The sequence below is a fragment of the Homo sapiens genome, chromosome 12 (assembly GCF_000001405.40).
Source record: "Homo sapiens chromosome 12, GRCh38.p14 Primary Assembly".
NCBI lineage: Eukaryota > Metazoa > Chordata > Mammalia > Primates > Hominidae > Homo > Homo sapiens.
The window spans coordinates 95178285-95197506 of record NC_000012.12 but is presented as its reverse complement, the minus strand read 5'-3'; the positions used below and the strand labels follow the sequence as shown (position 1 = coordinate 95197506).

The 19222-nt window shown below is 41.9% G+C and overlaps 1 protein-coding gene across 1 annotated transcript in view, besides 1 other annotated feature; it reads left to right on the top strand.

Annotated features, from left to right (window-relative positions):
- Window positions 1-19222, top strand: part of FGD6 (FYVE, RhoGEF and PH domain containing 6) — a 140719-nt gene that overhangs the window by 19961 nt on the left and 101536 nt on the right. The gene's annotated exons all lie outside the window — the stretch shown is intronic.
- Window positions 6441-6510: a silencer, noted in NCBI's record as "silent region_4737". NCBI's record gives its function as "represses an Ori minimal core promoter by ATAC-STARR-seq in GM12878 lymphoblastoid cells {active_cell/tissue: GM12878}" and the evidence as "EXISTENCE:reporter gene assay evidence [ECO:0000049][PMID:35858748]".

Sequence of the window (19222 nt, the reverse complement as noted above, 5' to 3'; positions counted from 1 at the left end):
TGAAGATTTCTTAGAGAAGGAAGACTTTATGGAGCCTTTTGGGGTTCTTTTTGTTTGTTTGTTTTTATTTTTTAGAGACAGAGTCTTGCTCTGTTGCCCAGGCTGTAGTGCAGTGGCGTGATCTCACTTCAGCCTCCACCTCCCAGGTTCAAGCGATTCTTCTGCCTCAGCCTCCTGAGTAGCTGGGATTACAGGTGCACACCACCACACTGGGCTAATTTTTGTATTTTTAGTAGAGACGGAGTTCACCATGTTGGCCAGGCTGGTCTCAAACTCCTGACCTCAAGTGATCCACCCACTTCGGCCTCCTGAAGTGCTGGGATTACAGGCATGAGCCACCGTGCCTGGCCTGAGCATATTGAATTGTGAGAGAGTAGGACCTGGATACTGGATGAGGGAGCATGTTCAGTCTGGCTATAAGTTGAGAGAAGTTCTTAGGCAAACCACTGCTAGCATTACTGGAACACAGGTTATAGTCACTGACCCTGTCTCCCAAAAGGCTTGCTGAATCTACTTCCAAGGTAAAACGGATTGAGATGCCTCTTTGTGACTTTTTAATTTGTCATCTGGCTGGCTCTGGTGGCTTATGCCTGTAATCCCAGCACTTTGGGAGGCCAAAGCAGGAGGATCACTTGAGGCAGGAGTTTGAGACCAGCCTGGGCAATATAGTGAGACCTTGTCTCTACAAAAAATTTAAAAATTAGCCAGGCATGGTGGCATGTACCTATAGTCCCAGCTACTTGGGAGGCTGAGGTGGGAAGATCACCTGAGTCTGGGAGGCAGAAGTTGCAGTGAGCTGAGATTGCACCACTGCACTCCAGCCTGGATGACAGAGCAAGACCCTGTTTCAAAAAAAAAAAAAGAAAAAAATTGGCATGTTTATTAATACTGTCTATGCTGAACTGAACTTGGTTTGTCTTGTTTTAAGTGAATAAATGCCATAGTCATAGTATAGAAAGCATATTTAAATTCCTTCTGACCAGGTGCAGTGGCTCACGCCTGTAATCCCAGCACTTTGGGAGGCTAAGGTGGGTGGATCACGAGGTCAGGAGTTTGAGACCAGCCTGGCCAACATAGTGAAACCCCGTCTCTACTAAAAAGACAAAAAATTAGCTGGGCGTGGCCTCCAGCACTTTGGGAGGCCATGGTAGGAGAATCACTGGAGTCCAGGAGTTCAAGACCAGCCTGGGCAACGTAGCAAGACCTTGTTTCTAAATAAATAAATAATAACTTCCTTCTATGCACAACCTGCTGTTACTGTGCTAATTATGTAACAGGCTTCTGTAGAGCCAAACTGATTTGAAAAACTGTACTTGGCTGTTAAAGGTATATTTAAAAATACGAAATTACTCAAAATGTTTTTTTGTTTTGTTTTGTTTTGTTTTGTAGACAGAGTCTAGCTCTGTCACCCAGGCTGGAGTGCAGCAGCGTGATCTCAAGCTCGCTGCAACCTCCGCCTCCCGGTTTCAAGCGATTATCCTGCTTCAGCCTCCCAAGTAGCTGATTAGAGACGTGCGCCACCACACCTGCCTAATTTTTATATATTTAGTAGAAACGGGGTTTGGCCATGTTTGGCCACACTGATCTTTAGATTCCCCCGGTTTTACTTGTACTCACATGTGTATTTAATTCTATATAATTTTATTAGATGTGTAGGTTTGCATCTCCATCTTCACCATTCCATCACCACCAAGACCCCTCTTGTCCTTTTATACCCACACCCACCCCCCTCCCACCTCTTCCCGTCAACCCCTGGCAACCACTAGTCTATTTCAGATTGTTTTGTTGTTTAAAAATGTTATATAAGGCCAGGCGTGAGCCACCATGCCCGGCCCTTTCAAACTGTATTTTATTTAAAATATCCTATAATTCTGACTTTTTAATGAATTTGTAATTTTTTTTCCTCTCAAATTAAATTAAAATCTACCCACAAATAGCGACACAGTTGGCCTGGTTGCCAGGACATTTCGTTATCAAAGGGCATATAAGTATAGGCTTTCAGTTTTTAGTCTACAGGTGTAGGTACGTGTCCATTTCACTGCCTTTCATCGCTTGTTTCCTGCCTTTCCCTGTTTTATGCTAAAAACAAAACAGAGGATGGCCAAGGGACAGTGGTGTGATGCTGCTCTGAAGGCTTTTGTTATAGAACCTGGTGAAGTCCTGTGGCCTCAATCTGCCAGTATTCTTTGGCAGAGATTCCTACCTGATGACAGTTGATTTCAGAGATCTCTGATTCTTATGTAAACATAGTGACATTTTACCTGCTGGAGGGGATGTTGTCAGGTGATTTTAGTCCGTTGTAGCTAATCAGGTGCTTCAGAGAGATTTGGATTGTTAGATTTTATTTCATAGAATTTATATGGCATTTTAAATATAAAATTTATAGCAAAATAATAGATTTTACTTTTATAGAAGTCAGTAAACTTCATGTCCCCTCAGGAAAACCAGGAAACAAATAAATTACCTCCGATTATGTCCTTATCTGAGGCTGCTCTCGGCATTTGGAAGTGGAAGTGAAAAAACAGCATAGAAATTAAGGATAGTTCTTACCCAGGAGGAATTTGCAATGTGGTTTATTACTGTTTTTAATTGAAATGTTTATCGATATAACTGTAGATTCACATGTGGCAAAGAAACAATAGAGAGAGAAACTAGTCTGCTTCAGCTAGTTTCCCTTAATGGTAACATTTTATAGAACTATAGTAAAGAATCACAACTAGTATATTAACATTGACAGAATCCACACTGATCTTTAGATTCCCCCCGTTTTTACTTGTACTCACATGTGTATTTAATTCTATATAATTTTATTAGATGTGTAGGTTTGCATCTCCATCTTCACCATTCCATCACCACCAAGACCCCTCTTGTCCTTTTATACCCACACCCACCCCCCTCCCACCTCTTCCCGTCAACCCCTGGCAACCACTAGTCTATTTCAGATTGTTTTGTTGTTTAAAAATGTTATATAAGGCCAGGCGTGGTGGCTCACGCCTGTAATCCCAGCACTTTGGGAAGCTGAGGTGGGCAGATCACCTGAGGTTGGGAGTTCGAGACCAGCCTGACCAACATGTAGAAACCCCGACTCTACTGAAAATACAAAATTAGCCAGGCATAGTGGTTCATGCCTGTAATCTGAGCTATTCAGGAGGCTGGGGCAGGAGAATCGCTTGAACCTGGGAGGTGGAGGTTGTGGTGAGCTGAGGTCATGCCACTGCACTCCAGCCTGGGCAACAAGAGTGAAACTCCGTCTCAAAAAAAAGTTATATAAAATGGAATCACAGCCAGGCACAGTGGCTCATGCCTATAACCCCAGCACTTTGGGAGGCCAAGGAAGGAACATCATTTGAGCCCAGGAGTTCAAAACCAACCTGGGCAACTTGGCGAGACTCCATCTCTACAAAAAATTTAAAAACGTGATGGTACATGCCCGTAGTCCTAGCTACTTGGGAGTCTGAGGCAGGAAGATCACTGGAGCCCAGGAGGTCAAGGCTCCAGTGAGCTGTAATCACGCCACTGCATTCTAGCGTGGGTGACAGAGTGAGACCCTGTCTCCAAAAAAATAAAAATAAAATATAAAATAATAAAGTAGAAAATAAAATGTAACAAAATAATAAAAATATAGAATCATATAGCATGTGGCCTTTTGGAATTGGCATTTTAAAAAAATTCAGCATGGGCCAGGCATGGTGGCTCATGCCTATAATCCCAACACTTTGGGAGGCCGAGGCAGGCGGATCACCTGGGGTCAGGAGTTTGAGACCAGCCTGGCCAACATGGTGAAACCCTGTCTCTACTGAAAATATGAAAATTAGCTGGGTGTGGTGGTGCATGCTTGTAGTCCCAGCTACTTGGGAGGCTGAGGCAAGAGAATCGCTTGAACCCAGGAGGCAGAAGTTGCAGTGAGCCAAGATCACGCCACTACACTCCAGCCTGGGCAACAGAGTGAGACACCGTCTCAAAAAAAAAAAAAAAACAAGAATTAACCAGGTGTGGTGGTGGGCATCTGTAATTCCAGCTACTCAGGAGGCTGAGGCAGGAGAATTGCTTGAACCCAGGAGGCAGAGGTTGCAGTGAGCTGAGATCATGCTGTTGCACTCCAGCCTGGGTGATGAAAGCGAAATTCCGCCTCAAAAAAAAAAAAAAATTCAGCATGATTTTCTGTAGAGCCATCCAAGTTGTTGCGTATGCCAATAGCTTTTTCTTTTTTAATGCTAAGTATTGCTAAATATTAGTAGTATTTCACTTAAAGGACATCTGGGCCATTTCCACTGTTTGGCTTTTACAAATAAATCTGTCATGAACATTCATATTCAGGTTTTTGTGTGAATATATTTTCATTTCTCTGGAATAAATGCCCAAAAGTGCAATTAGGGGTTGTGTGGGAATTGCATGTTTAGTTTTATAAGAAGCTGCCAAACTGTTTTCCAGAGTAGGTATACCATTTTGCTTTCCTACCAGCGATGTATGAGTGACCCAGTGTCTGCACACCTCACCAGCACTTGGTAGTTGGTAGTTGTCACTGTTTTTTATTTTAGCAATGCTGACAGGTGTGCAGTAATATCACATTATGGCAGTCTGCCTTCCCAGTCTGATCATCTTATTGCCCATCTACACAAAATTGACCACATTCTACATTCCAAAACATGCTCTTCTCTCATGGCTTTGTTCCACTACCTAAAAAACCCTTTTCCCAGACAGAGAATTTTTCATCTTTCTAGACCTAATTCACATGCTACCTTTTGTGGAAATCCTCCCCTTCCAATGTAGGAAAGGTAACAAAATACACTCCCCTCCCAATCTTCCCCATTGTTCTCCATCCACTCATCTCGTTCTTCCTTTCTAACACTGCCTCTTCTTGTCAGTATATTATCTACTTGTTTGCTTATGTGTCTCTCCTACTAGAAAACAGCCTGCATGGATGGGGGATCCTAAATTTTGTTACACTGCCTTGTCCTCAGTGCCCAGAACAGTGCCTGACACATAGGTGCTTAGTAAATATTTATTGAAAGAATGAATGAGGAAGTGAATTTTTGTACATTGTGCCTCCACTCCCTTCTCTAGCATATTGCCTGGCATATCCTGTTTATGGTATAATAAAAATAGCTAACATTTACTATATTGATTTTAACTACATATCAAACAGTACAATGGACCCCTTTCCTTGGTCTTCTACTGTTGCACAGCACCAACTCATCATTCTATCATAACATTTTGTTAACCTCCCTCTGCTTCCCCCCTAAAAAATACATGTACATTCTGCTCTTTGTATTCATCAGTTGCACACCCATGGATTCACTAAGCTGCTTATTGAAAAAATTTTGGGGGAAAATGGATGGTTGCATCTGTATTGAACATGTACAGACTTTTAGACTTTTAGTTCTTGTCATTATTCCCTAAATAATATAACAACTATTTGTGTAGCATTTATATTAGTTGGTTATAATTAGTCTAACAGTGATTTAAAGTATACAGGAGGAGCCGCGAGTGGTGGCTCATGCCTGTAATCCTAGCATTTTGGGAGGTGGATCACCTGAGGTCAGGAGTTCGAGACCAGCCTGGCCAATATGGTGAAACCCCATCTGTACTAAAAATACAAAAAAATTAGCCAGGCGTGGTGGCGGGTGCCTATAATCCCAGCTACTTGGGAGGCTGAGGCAGGAGAATTGCTTGAACCTGGAGGTGGGGTTGCAGTGAGCTGAGACCGTGCTATTGCACTCCAGCCTGGGCAACAAGAACGAAACTGTCTCAAAATAATAATAAATAAAGTATACAGGAGGATATATGTAGTTTATATGCAAGTACCATACCATTTTATATAAGGGACTTGAGCATCCATGGAGTTTGGTCTCTGTGGGGGGTCCTGAAACCAATCCCCCACAGATACCCAGGGACAACTATGTAAGAATAAATATTGTGAGAGATTACAACACCTTTGTATCCTTGGCCCCAGCAGATACCTGGCACAAATTAAGTAGTCACATCTGAGCAAACAGTGGTCAGGTTAAACACTGCTTTTGCTTGTGTGAAGTCAGAATCCAGCTGCATTTTGAGTAAACCAGTGTCCCACTGACCAGGCTTCCAGAATGTACAGGAAACATCTGTTAATTTTGGAAAGCAATTACACTGGTGTGGAGAATTACTGCTATTTGCTAAAACAAAGCTCCCTTGGAGAAGAGAAATTGAATTAAAAGACCTCACATGCATCTGTCTTTATTAGATACATGGTGAGCATCCTTCCGTATTGTGGGATGGTTATGCAAGAAGCACTCCATTCCACCAGTCCTCTCACCAAACCTGCAGAAAGAAAGCATGGAGTCTAAATTCCCATGCCAATCAAAAGCAGTTTTGACAGTTTCTTGGTTAGTACAGGTCTTACCATATCTAAATGTGCTACTCAGAAAATGCAAAGAAGATGTATCACTTAAAAAAATCTAGTTTGATGGAACTGTAAATGAAAGAACTGTCCCTGTAGTCTTACATGTAGTAAGACTGAAACTGAAAAAATCTAGGCAGTCTGTAGGTAGCTTTGGAGTTAGCAAAAATTTACTAAAATGTTCTGGTGAAGGGTCTAGTGACATTTTAATGTATTTTTTAATTTTTAACTTTTTTTTAAAATATAGAGACAGAATTTTACTATGTTGCCCAGGCTGGTCTCAAACTCCTGGCCTCAAGCAATCCTCCTGCTTTGGCCTCGCAAAGTGCTGGGGTTACAGGTGTGAGCCACCATGCCTCGCCCAAAATTTTTACATATGTGGGGAAATATCAGAATGATTTGGCTATGGAAGGCATGTTTTCTCTTACAGGATGAATAATCCATATAGTTCAGGATTTCAACATATATTTTTTGGCCAAAATATAGTATTTTAGACTCTGCTGTCTTGTCTCCATGTAACATATGGGTACGGCCTAAATAAAATACAGTTTTTTCCGAGCCCTGGAATGGACTAATTAGATATCGATATGGAAAAGATTTAAGAGTATTACCTAAGAGCTATAAAATCTTTTAGAAAAATATTAATTTAAGAAAACATCTTGGCCAGGTGCAGTGGCTCACACCTATAATCCCAGCACTTTGGGAGGCCGAGGCAGGCAGATCACCTGAGGTCAGGAGTTCGAAACCAGCCTAGCCAACATGACGAAATCCTGTCCCTACTAAAAATATAAAAAGTAGCCGGGCGCAGTGGTGGCCGCCTGTAATCTCAGCTACTCGGGAGGCTGAAGCAGGATAATCACTTGAACCCTGGAGGCGGAGGTTGCAGTGAGCCGAGATTGTGCCATTGCACTCCAGCCTGAGCGACAGAGCAAGACTCCATTTCAAAAACAAAAGAAAACATCTTATCTTTTTATTCCTACTGTACAACAGATAAAATCCCATGTCTTAGCTGTTAGAAGGCAGGTAAAATGCTTAAAGGATTTGTAAAGACAAACTGAAAACTATTTAATATAGTACATCTTTTCTCAATGTATTAAATACTCTTTCTAGTTAACAGGTACTTACTGCACATTCACTGTGTGTGGAGCACCATATTTGAATATAAAAGGAACTTTTACAATGAAAGTTAGTACTAACAAGCGAAGAATATTAAAGATCTGAAAGGTGAAAGTTTTCTATTACTATTAAGGAAATCCATTTTGTCTTTTTAAAATACTCTGTGAAATCTTTCTGTAGGGCAAAACTTAAATACTGTGAAAATAAGCAAATATATTAGCTCTAGCTAGGTTAGGAGGTTTTTTTGATGGTAAAATTAGTTTAAGTATGTTTTTATACCCAGTGGTTACTTGATTAACTGTTGATGCTTCTCCTTTTCTTGAATATGACCTTACTAGATTCTTTTTTTTTTTTTTTTTTTCCTATGAAACAGGGTCTCGCTCTGTCAACCCAGGTTGGAGTGCAGTGGCAAGATCACAGCTCACTGCAGCCTCAACCTCCCAGACTTAGGTGATCCTCCCACTTCATCTTCCCAAGTAGCTGGGACTACAGGCCCACGGCACCACACCCAGCTAATTTTTGTATTTGTTTGCAGAGATGGGGCTTCACCATGTTGCCAAGGCTGGTCTCGAACTCTGGGCTCAAGCGATCCTCCCTCATCGGCTTCCCAAAGTGCTGGGATTACAGACGTGAGCCACTGCACCCAGCTAGATTGACTCTTGATAGCAGTGATTCTAAGCAGCTTTAATTCTTATTGAGCCCTCACAGTGTTAAGAAGCAAAAACATTTTTTGTGTGCTCTTTTGTACTCTACAAATTAATGTCTTCTCTGCCTGGTCTTTGAAATCTTGGCCCCAGTAAATATCTGTGCTGGCTATGCAGCTAATACCCTGTGGATGGGTTCTGTTAAGTAAAATCTGTGACTGTGAACACGGGTGTGGGGGTGTATAGAAGCTTCCATTTTGCTATACATAATTTCCTGATGCCCAGGGTGAAAATATTCTTTGTTCACTGGGTTTACCTTACAAAGTACAGGGAATTTATTATTTTCAGAGCGGGGAGTGGTCTAGGGAATTAGAGAATTCATTTTGAGATTATCTACATGAAGTAGACCAAAAACTATTGCTGTAATCCACATGTCAACATGTCCAGATTTTTTTCTTTTCTTTCTTTGCATTTTGTGGGAAGAGCAGATGGGGATAGCTTTCTCTAATTCATCCTCTCTGCCTGCTTTACCTTTGACCTTTCCTTACCAAGTATTAAAAAAAAAAAAAGTTGTTTTTAAGGAATACTTGAAATAACTGAGATTAGTAAACTTGGAGAAGAGAGAATGGGGATTTTCAGTTCTTTACGTATTTGTTTAGTTATAAAAGTTATATAAAATTGTTGTCTTAAAAAAAGTTAAATGTACATGAAGTGAAAAGTAAAATCCTCCCTCCTTTTCTTCTCTTTATCCACCTCCGTTCCACTGGAGAGATAAGGTTTTGGGGGTTTTGTTTGTTTTGATTTTTCACATGGAAAGTTTTAGAATAAGTGGAAAGTTTAGGAGTAAACTCTGTCCCTATGAGGTTATTGTTATCTTTGAGGTACATGAGAAAGACAAAGGCTGACAGCTCCATTTTCCCCAGGGCAGGAACCTTGTCTTCCTTCTCCTGTGTCTGTGGTAACATGTCCTCTACACACACACACACACGGATGGTGCTTTGCCCATCTGCTTATTTCTCTCCTTTACCTTGCCTTACTTACTGTTTTCTGGTTTCTTCATTTCTTCTGCTTCCCTCTTCTCCCCATTTTTTTTCTGTGCCTTCAGCTAGTAGCTCAGAGCAAGTGATCACTGTTTTGAAATTGCATTCTACTGGGCTTTTTCTAGTTCAGTGCAATATGAAAATTTCCATTTAGAAAAGAAATAGGACTCTTTGCTTTATATTGCAAAATGAAGTTTACATTACTAGAGAAATCAGCAACTTTATTGCATACGTGAGGTATGCTTATCAGTGTCATTCATCGGCCACCTTGGCCTTTGTCGCATCAATGTGATCATTATTAAGCAAAGAGGGACAAAGCCAGCTTTTCAAAACATACTTGAAAAGGTACTTTGAGATCTAGTGGAATACCTGTGAATTCGTCATTATATGTGACTAAAATTGTTTTAGAAATAAGAAAGAATATTGAGATATGCATGAAACTGTAGTTATTCTGAGCTTCAGGATATTACTGTACAAGTAGTAAGCTACCAAAAATAAGTAGTGAAATTAAACATGGAAAATGAGCTCTAGGAGTAACCTGCTGCAAAACCGTGGCTCACATGACCTCACTGTAGGAGTTCTTGACTCAGACCTTTAAGCTGGTGATGAGCTGTTTCACATGATTGATAATGCAGAAGCTCCTCTCTGAAGTCACTTTTTTTTTTTTGTTTTTTTTTTGGGGACGCAGCCTCGCTCAGTCACCCAGGCTGGAGTGAGTGGCGCAATCTTGGCTCACTGGAACCTCCGCCTCCCAGGTTCAAGTGATTCTCCTGCCTCAGCCTCCCAAGTAGCTGGGATTACAGATGCATGCCACCATGCCTGGCTAATCTTTGTATTTTTAGTAGAGACGGGGTTTCACCATATTGGCCATGCTGGTCTCGATCTGCTGACCTCATGATCTGCCCACCTCATGATCTGCCCGCCTCGGCCTCCCAAAGTGTTGGGATTACAGGCATGAGCCACCACGCCCAGCCTGAAGTAACTTGTTTTTTTTTTTTTTGAAATGGAGTCTTGCACTGTCTCCCAGGCTGGAGTGCAGTGGCACGATCTCGGCTCACTGCAAGCTCCGCCTCCTGGGTTCATGCCATTCTCCTGCCTCAGCCTTCCGAGTAGTTGGGACTACAGGCGCCTGCCACCACGACCAGCTAATTTTTTATATTTTTAGTAGAGATGGGGTTTCACCGTATTAGCCAGGATGGTCTCGATCTCCTAACCTCATGATCTGCCCGCCTCGGCATCCCAAAGTTCTGGGATTACAGGCATGAGCCACTATGCCCGGCCTGAAGTCACTTTTTATACAGTTCTAGACTTTTAAGTATATACAAGAGAAACAGTGAGTGAGCAAACGAGCTTTCTGTGTACCAGGCATTGTTAGTGCATTGCTTGTATTAATTTGTTTAATCCCCACAAAATTCTGTCAGGTAGGCAATATTATGATCCTCATTTTATGGAGGAAAAACTGAGGCACGGAGAGGTTAAAAACTGACTCAATTTCACCTACTTAGTATGTGGCAGAACTCGGATTCGAACACAGGCAGTTTTGCCCCAAAGGAAATATACTGCTTCTTTTGGGTAATCTGCTGTACCAAGGATCAGCAAACGTTTTCCGTAAAGGGCCAGATGATAAATATTTTAGACTTTGCAGGCCATAGGTCTCTGTTGCATCTCTTCAGCTCTGCCAATGTAGTGCAAAAGCAGTGACAGATAGTACAGAAACAAATGAGCATGGATGTTTTCCAATAAAACTTCATTATGGACATGAAAATCATTTTCATGTGTCACAAAATATTGTTCTTTTTTTTTTTTTTTCATGATTTAAGAATATAAGAGCCAGGCTGGGCACAGTGGCTCATGCCTATAATCCCAGCACTTTGGGAGGCTGAGGCAGGAGGATCACTTAAGGTCAGGAGTTCAAGATCAGACTGGCCAAGATAGCAAAACCCCATCTCTACTGCTTGGAAGGCTGAGGCAGGAGAATTGCTTGAACCCAGGAGGCAGAGGTTGCAGTAAGCCGAGATTGTGCCACTACACTCCAGCCTGGGTGACCCAGCAAGACTCCGTCTCAAAAAAAAAAAAAAAAAAAAAAAAAAAAAAAAAAAAAAGAAGAAGAATATAAGAAGCATTCTTAGCTCATAGACCTTACAAAAACAGGCAGCAGGTTAGATTTGCCTAATCATACTATACTATGTATGTGTGAGATATTAGGATGGAATCCATTCATTTGTTAATACATTCATGCAAGAAAGGTATTATACTACATTTTGGGATTTCTAGGGGGAACAAGAACAACTTTCAGTTCCTCTTGCCATTCTGCTTACTGGATGAACTATGATGTTGTCCCCTTTCTCATGCCTGCTTTTTAAAAAGCTGTCTTTATTTCCTGTCCATTGCATATAACAGATATATTCACATTATCTCATTTAATCTTCATTGCAGGTGGTATGTTATCTCAATTTTTATTTTTATTTTTGAGATGGAGTCTTGCGCTGTTGCCCAGGCTGGAGTGCAATGGTGCAATCTCAGCTAACTGCAACCTCTGCCTCCCAGGTTCAAGCAATTCTTCTGCCTCAGCCTCCTGAGTAGCCGGGATTACAGGTGCGCACCACCATGCCTGGCTAATTTTTGTATTTTTAGAAGAGACGAGGTTTCGCCATGTTGACCAGGCTGGTCTCGAACTCCTGACCTCATGATCCTCCTGCCTCAGCCTCCCAAAATGCTGGGATTACAGGCGTAAGCCACTGCGCCCGGCCTATTATCTCAATTTTATAGTATAGGGAAATGTAAACTTAGTCCAATTAACTAGCCAGTTACACACAGCCATGAGTGGTGGACCCTGCCTTCAAATGCAGGTCTCTTAGGCTGAAAGAGCATTTTTTTTTTCTTCTCTGCTGCCTTTCCTTCCCTCGTAGAAATGTATGAAACTGTGATAAATGTTTGTGATCCTGTCAGAAGCGAATGTTTATTTTACTTGAATACACGTTTATTTTCACTTCCCTTCCATTTTCCCTGACTCTCGCTTTCGAAGATGTAATCTGAGTTTGATAGAAAAGTAGTGATTTTTTTTGGTTTCCCAATCAAAGAAGCTAAAAATAAACACAGAACTAGTCAGCAATGTAACTGGTGTAAGGACTCACTGATGCGTGGGATTAAGAGTGGAAGAAGGGCCCGGGTGCTCACACCTATAATCCCAGCACTTTGGGAGGCCGAGGCAGGCAGATCACTTGAGGTCAGGAGTTCAAGACCAGCCTGGCCAACATGGTGAAACCCTGTCTCTACTAAAAATACAAAAATTAGCTGGGCATGGTGGCTGGCGCCTGTCATCCCAGCTCCTTGTGAGGCTGAGGCAAGTGAATTGCTTGAACCTGGGAGGCGGAGGTTGCAGTAAGCCAAGATCGCACCACTGCACTCCAGTCTGGATGACAGAGTGAGACTCCGTCTCAAAAAAAAAGGCTGAGTGTGGTGGCTCCTGCCTGTAATCCCAGCACTTTGGGAGGCCAAGGCGGGCAAATCACTTGAGGTCAGGAGTTTGAGACCAGCTTGGCCAACATGGCGAAACCCCATCTCCACTAAAAATATAAAAAATTAGTTGGGCTTGGTGGTGGACACCTGTAATCCCAGCTACTCAGGAGGCTGAGGCGCGAGAATCGCTTGAACCTGGGAGGCGGAGGTTGCAGTGAGCCAAGATCGCGCACCACTGCACTACAGCCTGGGCGACAGAGCAAGACTCCATCTCAAAAAAAAAAAAAAAACGTGCAGGAAGAAATCCATGTCTTTTCCTGACACCCTCTACAGCTTCCCCAGGGTGCTGTCTCAGAAAGATGTGGGTTCCTTATGGTTTTGGGGGGTTATTGATGGTTTATAACTGGTCTAGAGTAGACCTTGAAGACATATCATTTGTGTGAATAGAATCTGAAGAAGAAAGATGGCAAATAGGCTTACTTGTATATAGTTTTAAATAAGGAAGTAGACAGATTTATTCTTGAGCAATGACTAACCTCCCCCTCTGTGGCTCCTCATGGGCTCCCAAGAAGCCTTTGATCCTTTTCCCCCATGTTAGTGGGAAATCCCAGATATGATTGTAGTTCCTATTGGAAACTGATACACTTAAATAGGTTTAGATAAAATAACATCTGGGAATGATTGCAGAAGTCCTTTGGTTTTGGCTATTGGTTTCCTTGTAATTCCCCTACCCTTTCATTATAGTGGGGTCTGTATATAATGTAACATTTAGCATTCTGTAACATGGAATATGCCACATTTCTGGAACATGTAAGTTAATGCCTTTAACTTGAAAATTGCTTGAGTGTATCATGGCAGAGTCTAGATGTATATGCAAAATATACTTAGGTAAACACAAAGCTGACTTTGTACACCTCTCAATGTAATTTCTCAGGATAATCTTATTAAAATCTGCCAGTGCACCTGCTTTGTACCTCGCGATCCCAGACAATGGCACCTTTTTTGGAGGTTGTTTTGTTGTTGTTTTTGTTGTTTGAGACAGGTTCTTGCTCTGTCACCCAGCCTGAGTGCAGTGGCACAATCACTGCTCTCTGCAGCTTCAAACTTGTGGGTTCAAGCCATCCTCCCATCTCATCCTCCCAGGTAGCTGGGACCACAGGTGTTCACCCCCATACTTGGCTAATTTTTTATGTTTTGTAGAGATGGGATCTCCATGTGTTGCCTAGGCTGATCTCAAACTCCTGGGTTCAAATGATCCTCCTGCCTTGGCCTCCTAAATTGCTGGGAACCACCGCTCCTGGCCTTGGAGGTTGTTTGAATTACCTCCTCTTCACCCCGTTAGTGAGGGAGGGATTTCTGCTTAGGGTTACGGGAATGGCTGAATCCTGATGCTCGACACTGGACGGGTGAGATCAACAGCAGTTTCTCATTCACATGTAGTCCCAGCCTAGAGGAGGGCACAGCATGCCACACCTGGCCACCCAGGCCTGTACTCAGGAACAACTAGGGGTTGCGGGAGGCAGGCTGTATACAAGAGGGTGGGGGTCACTCCTGGTTCCCATGAGAGGATGTGATTGGCTTGTTTAAATGACTCTCTGCTGACTGGCAGGGAACTAAAACCCACTTCTCAGGGCTAGGCAGACACTGCACCTGGTCCTTGTGACTAAGAGGGTGGCCAGGGGACTTTATCAGCAGAAGCATAGTGGGAAGGGCAGTGTGTAGTGAGACCATTTGGAGCCCTTCTGATTTTCCCCAGATGTCAAGGCAGAGCATAATATTGGGCCTTAATTTTCAGCCTTGCACCGCAATGGTTTTGTGCTGACTCACAATCAAGAGCATAGCGTGGCCAGGCGGAGTAGTCATATTTTCCAAAAGGCTCGCCACCTTTTCAGTGGCTGTTAGGATTATGATGACAAGACCTTAGAGGAAGCAAAGGGGTGTGTACAGCTGACACCAGGACAAAGTGGTCACCCTGTTAGAGAAGGTAGTCAAAGGATGAGCTGTTTTTTCTACTAACTTACTAACCAGTCTTGCCCCTCTCGAGTAGTTGGGATTACAGGCGTGAGCCACTGTGCCCAGCCAAGTTGTCTCTTTTTAGAAAGTGGTTCTTTCCTTTGTCTTAAATTACTGTGGTTATCTCAATCCCTTCTGCCTTCATCTGTTTAAGAAGGTCTCAGTAGGAAAATAAAGAGAAGCAGTCAATAGAATTTGTAGTTTGAACATTGTAACTAATTCAATATTATCTTCATCTGCCTCCTAAAATAGTAAATGAAACATAGTAGGCCCTCGATAAATGTTTACTGAAATAAATGGCATCACCATTTTTATATATTCTAAGTATTACAAAAGTATTTTTAAAAATGTATGTATAGGCTGGGCAAGGTGGCTCACACCTGTAATCCCAGCACTTTGGGAGGCCAAGGCAGGTGGATCACCTGAGGTCAGGAGTCCGACACCAGCCTGGCCAGCATAGTGAAACCCAGTCTCTACTAAAAATACAAAAATTAGCCGGGCGTGGTGGGGCACCTGTAGTCCCAGCTACTCTGGAGCCTGAGGCAGGAAAATCACTTGAACCTGGGTGGCAGAGGTTGCAGTGAGCCAAGATCATGCCACTACACTCCAGCTTCCATCTCCAAAAAAAAAAAAAAAAAGTATGTATACATATATATGTGTAAATATGTGTATGCAACTGTGAAGTATTCTCTTGTAGCCATCCCAACCTCATTATTTATTTCTAATGGCCTTTATTTTTTCTGGCATCAAGTAGGAACAGACAGTATATTACATAATGAGGATGTGAAGGGGAGAAATGATACTAAGTCAACTCTAACTTTGTCTTAAAACTTTTTCGTTTTCAATAAGAGAAACATCATCTTTGGTGCAATGATGGAATTGGATTGGGAACTTGCCTTTGTTTTTTTTTTTTTTTTGAGAGAATCTCGCTGTGTCTCTCAGGCTGGAGTGCAGTGGCGTGATCTCAGCTCACTGCAAGCTCTGCCTCGCCATTCTCCTGCCTCAGCCTCCTGAGTAGCTGGGACTACAGGCGCCCGCCACCACGCCCAGCTAATTTTTTTGTATTTTTAGTAGAGATGGAGTTTCACTGCATTAGCCAGGATGGTCTTGATCTCCTGACCTTGTGATCTGCCTGCCTCAGCCTCCCAAAGTGTTGGGATTACAGGCGTGAGCCACTGTGCCCAACTGGAACTTGCCATATTTTATTGGAGGCAACCTCAAGCTCAGAATGCTTTTCTATTTGTATTAACAAGAAAGTTGTCCACATTTCGTGATGTGAATCCCAATTCTAAGAAAGCAAAATTGATGGTAATTAAATGTTGCAGATTTATTTTATGTAGTGCTTGTTTCAGGAGACATTTTTGTAACAATTTATTCCTTTCTAGCTAGACCTGGATTCCTTCTAGCTAAGTTTGACCTGGATGCCTCCCAGCTAAGCTAGATGGCCAAGAGTGTCTGTTGGACTCTTGTCACCATGGGGCTCCTCCTGTGTCATTAAGATAGGACCAGGAACCCTGAAGCACATGATCATCTTTACTTGCAGGTCAGGAAGCTCTCCCACAACCAAATGGAGAACTATGGGAGACGGACCCTATTATTATGTTGCTGTTCACTGTGACGTAGTCAACAAGTTGTGTGGTTACTCTGTGGGCCCTGCAGGCTGTTGAACATCCCTCTACTGACTTCTTTTTTTCTTTTTTAAAGCTATCAACTGGCTAGCCAGATCTCCCCTTCCTACCTATTATTTAGAGACTTAGACTTAAGGTTCTCCCAAACAAACCCCTCTCGGCAGTAAGGGAAAGCCGTAATTTATATATCTTAACAACTTAAGCAATAGTTAAAAGAGATTTTTTCTTTTTTTTTTGAAACGGCAATCCTGAAAATGTTTACACAGACCTCCAAGTCTGGGGGTTGGGGGAGAAAGGGAAAGAACAGGAGAAAATATCTTTAATCTCATCATCCTGGGAAGAAAATAAACTATCCCTAAAGAGTTTATATACATATAAAAATATGTGTATATATGTATAAATACATATATGCTTTGAACCACCTTTTATGAAGCTTTTCAGACTCTGTGTGTGTCGGGGGGGTGGTCAACTTTGAAAAAGTAAAAATGCACGTGATAACAACTTTTAAAAATGTACTGAAGGGCAAATAATAAAATCTCTCAGCCAGGAGTGGTGGCTCACACCTAGCACTTTGGGAGGCTGAGGCAGGCAGATCACTTGAGCCTAGGAGTTTGAGCCCATCCTTGGCAACATGGCAAAACCCAGTCTCTACAAAAGAAAAAATACGAAAATTAGCCAGGTGTGGTGGCACGCACCTGTTGTCCCAAGTGCCTGGGAGCCTGAGGCTGGAGGATCACTGAGTCTGGGAGACAGAAGTTACGGTGAGCTGTGATCACACCACTGCACTCTAACCTGGGTGTGCACTCCAGCCTGGGTGACAGAGCAAGCCCCTGTCTCAAAAAAAAAAAAAAAAAAAAATCTGTCTTTTATTCTCAGGACTTTAGTCCCAGAGGCAACTGTACTTCAACTATATTTATCAGTTTTTCTGAATGTGTTCGGGGACAGCCTGGTATATGTCAGCATGTTTGTGCACACACACACACACAAATATACACACTTTTTACATGGTTTTGTGTATATGTACTCTTCTTTTTGCTTCTCTACACAAATAGGAGCACACTCTGTGCCTTGATTTCTTTTTAACCTAACAATATTTCCTGGAGAATGATCTATGCCACTGTGCATAGATCTACCTCCTTTTTTTTTTTTTTGGAGGCAGAGTTTCGCTCTTATTGCCCAGGCTGGAGTGCAATGGCAGGATCTCAGCTGACCGCAACCTTGGCCTCCCAGGTTCAAGCAGTTCTCCTGCCTCAGCCTCCCGTGTAGCTGGGATTACAGGTATGTGCCACCACGCCTGGCTAATTTTGTATTTTTAGTAGAGATGGGGTTTCTCCATGTTGGTCAGGCTGGTCTCAAATTTCCTACCTAAGGTGATCCACCTGCCTTAGCCTGTTAAATAACTGTTTAGTAATTACTAAACAAATTAAATAACTGTTTAGTAATTCATTATATGAATGTATAACCCCAATTTATTTAACCGGTCTTTTTTTAATGGCTATTGAAGGAAGATCCCTTTAAGACTGCTTCTTTATGTTAAATCTTAATGAATGACTTTAAAGCCAATTACATATAAAAGTTGCAAGCATATGGGTAGGTACTCTTCTATTTTAAAGAATTTTGCATTCTATTTGTTTTTTAAACAATTTTCAGAGTTGTCTTGTGAGGACTGTATTTTAAATAGCAGCCTCAAGGTACTGATTATGATTTTGGTCTTATTTATTTATTTATGAGACAAGGTCTTGGTCCCTCACCTGCTGGAGTGCAAGGTCATAATTGTGGCTCAAGGCAGCCTCGACCTCTTGGGCTCAAGTGATCCTCCCACCTCAGCCTCCCAAGTAGCTAGGTAGCTAGGACCACAGGCACATACCACCATGCAATTTTTTTTTTTTTTCATAGAAATGGGGTCTCTCCCTGTGTTGCCCAGGCCGGTCTCGAACTCCTAGGCCCAAGCAATCACCCCCACCCCCCACAGCCTCCCAGAGTGCTGGGATTACAGACATCAGTCACCACCCCGGCTCTGATTATGTCTTTAGTCAGTAGCATACAATTCTAAGAATCCTCGTAATTACTTGGGGGAAGGTGATAGTAATGGTATTCGCAAAGGTGGAGGTTGCTTCTGGAAAATGAAGCAAGCCTGTTTTTAAAAAATATCCATCATTTGAAGCCTGGCATTTTACCCTAACAGAGTCACCCAGAGACAGTTTTAAACAGTTTCTGGTTTATATTTCAGGGAAGCTGGATATTTTTGTGTGATTTCTTTTTTTTTGAAGCCATAGAACCCTAGCTTGCTAGTTTGAAAGGCTCAGTTGTTAAAACCTCTAAAACTTAAGAATGAAAAAATAAAACACTGATCGTGTACATTTTATGTTGTAAGTTTCTTTGTTTATTCATTTTTTCTATCTTTAAGTAACAAAATTCTGTGGTACTGTCCCTTTAAGTATTTTAGTGATTTTATTTATTTTTATTTTGTGAATACTAAAGAATTTAACTCAAAAAGTTTATACACTACATATATACATTATAGGATTTTAAAAACTGAAATTGAGATAATAAAATCATTAATTTTTAAATTAAAATTTGTCTTAACCTTTAATCAAGCAACCTCTCGAAGAGAAGATTAAAAATCAATATATTTGATACCTTTATAATGCAAGGACATAAAAAAATTGATAGATGTCCTTTTCTTTCAGGGGGAAGGATTTCTGCTATTATACTTATTCAATAAGAACATCAGCATCCATAGCCTTACGTATTACTGAAGCATTGATGTTTCTTTTTTGTGAAAGCAGTTAGGAGTGGAGAAAGACCTACTAGTTGATCTGGTTTACCTAGTTTACCTACTTTACCTACCAGCACTCAGGAGTCACACTGGTTGAACTTGATATTTGTTCAGTCCTGTCACCTGGCTCTGCACATACTTAAAATAATTGTGCACCATCTTGTGTT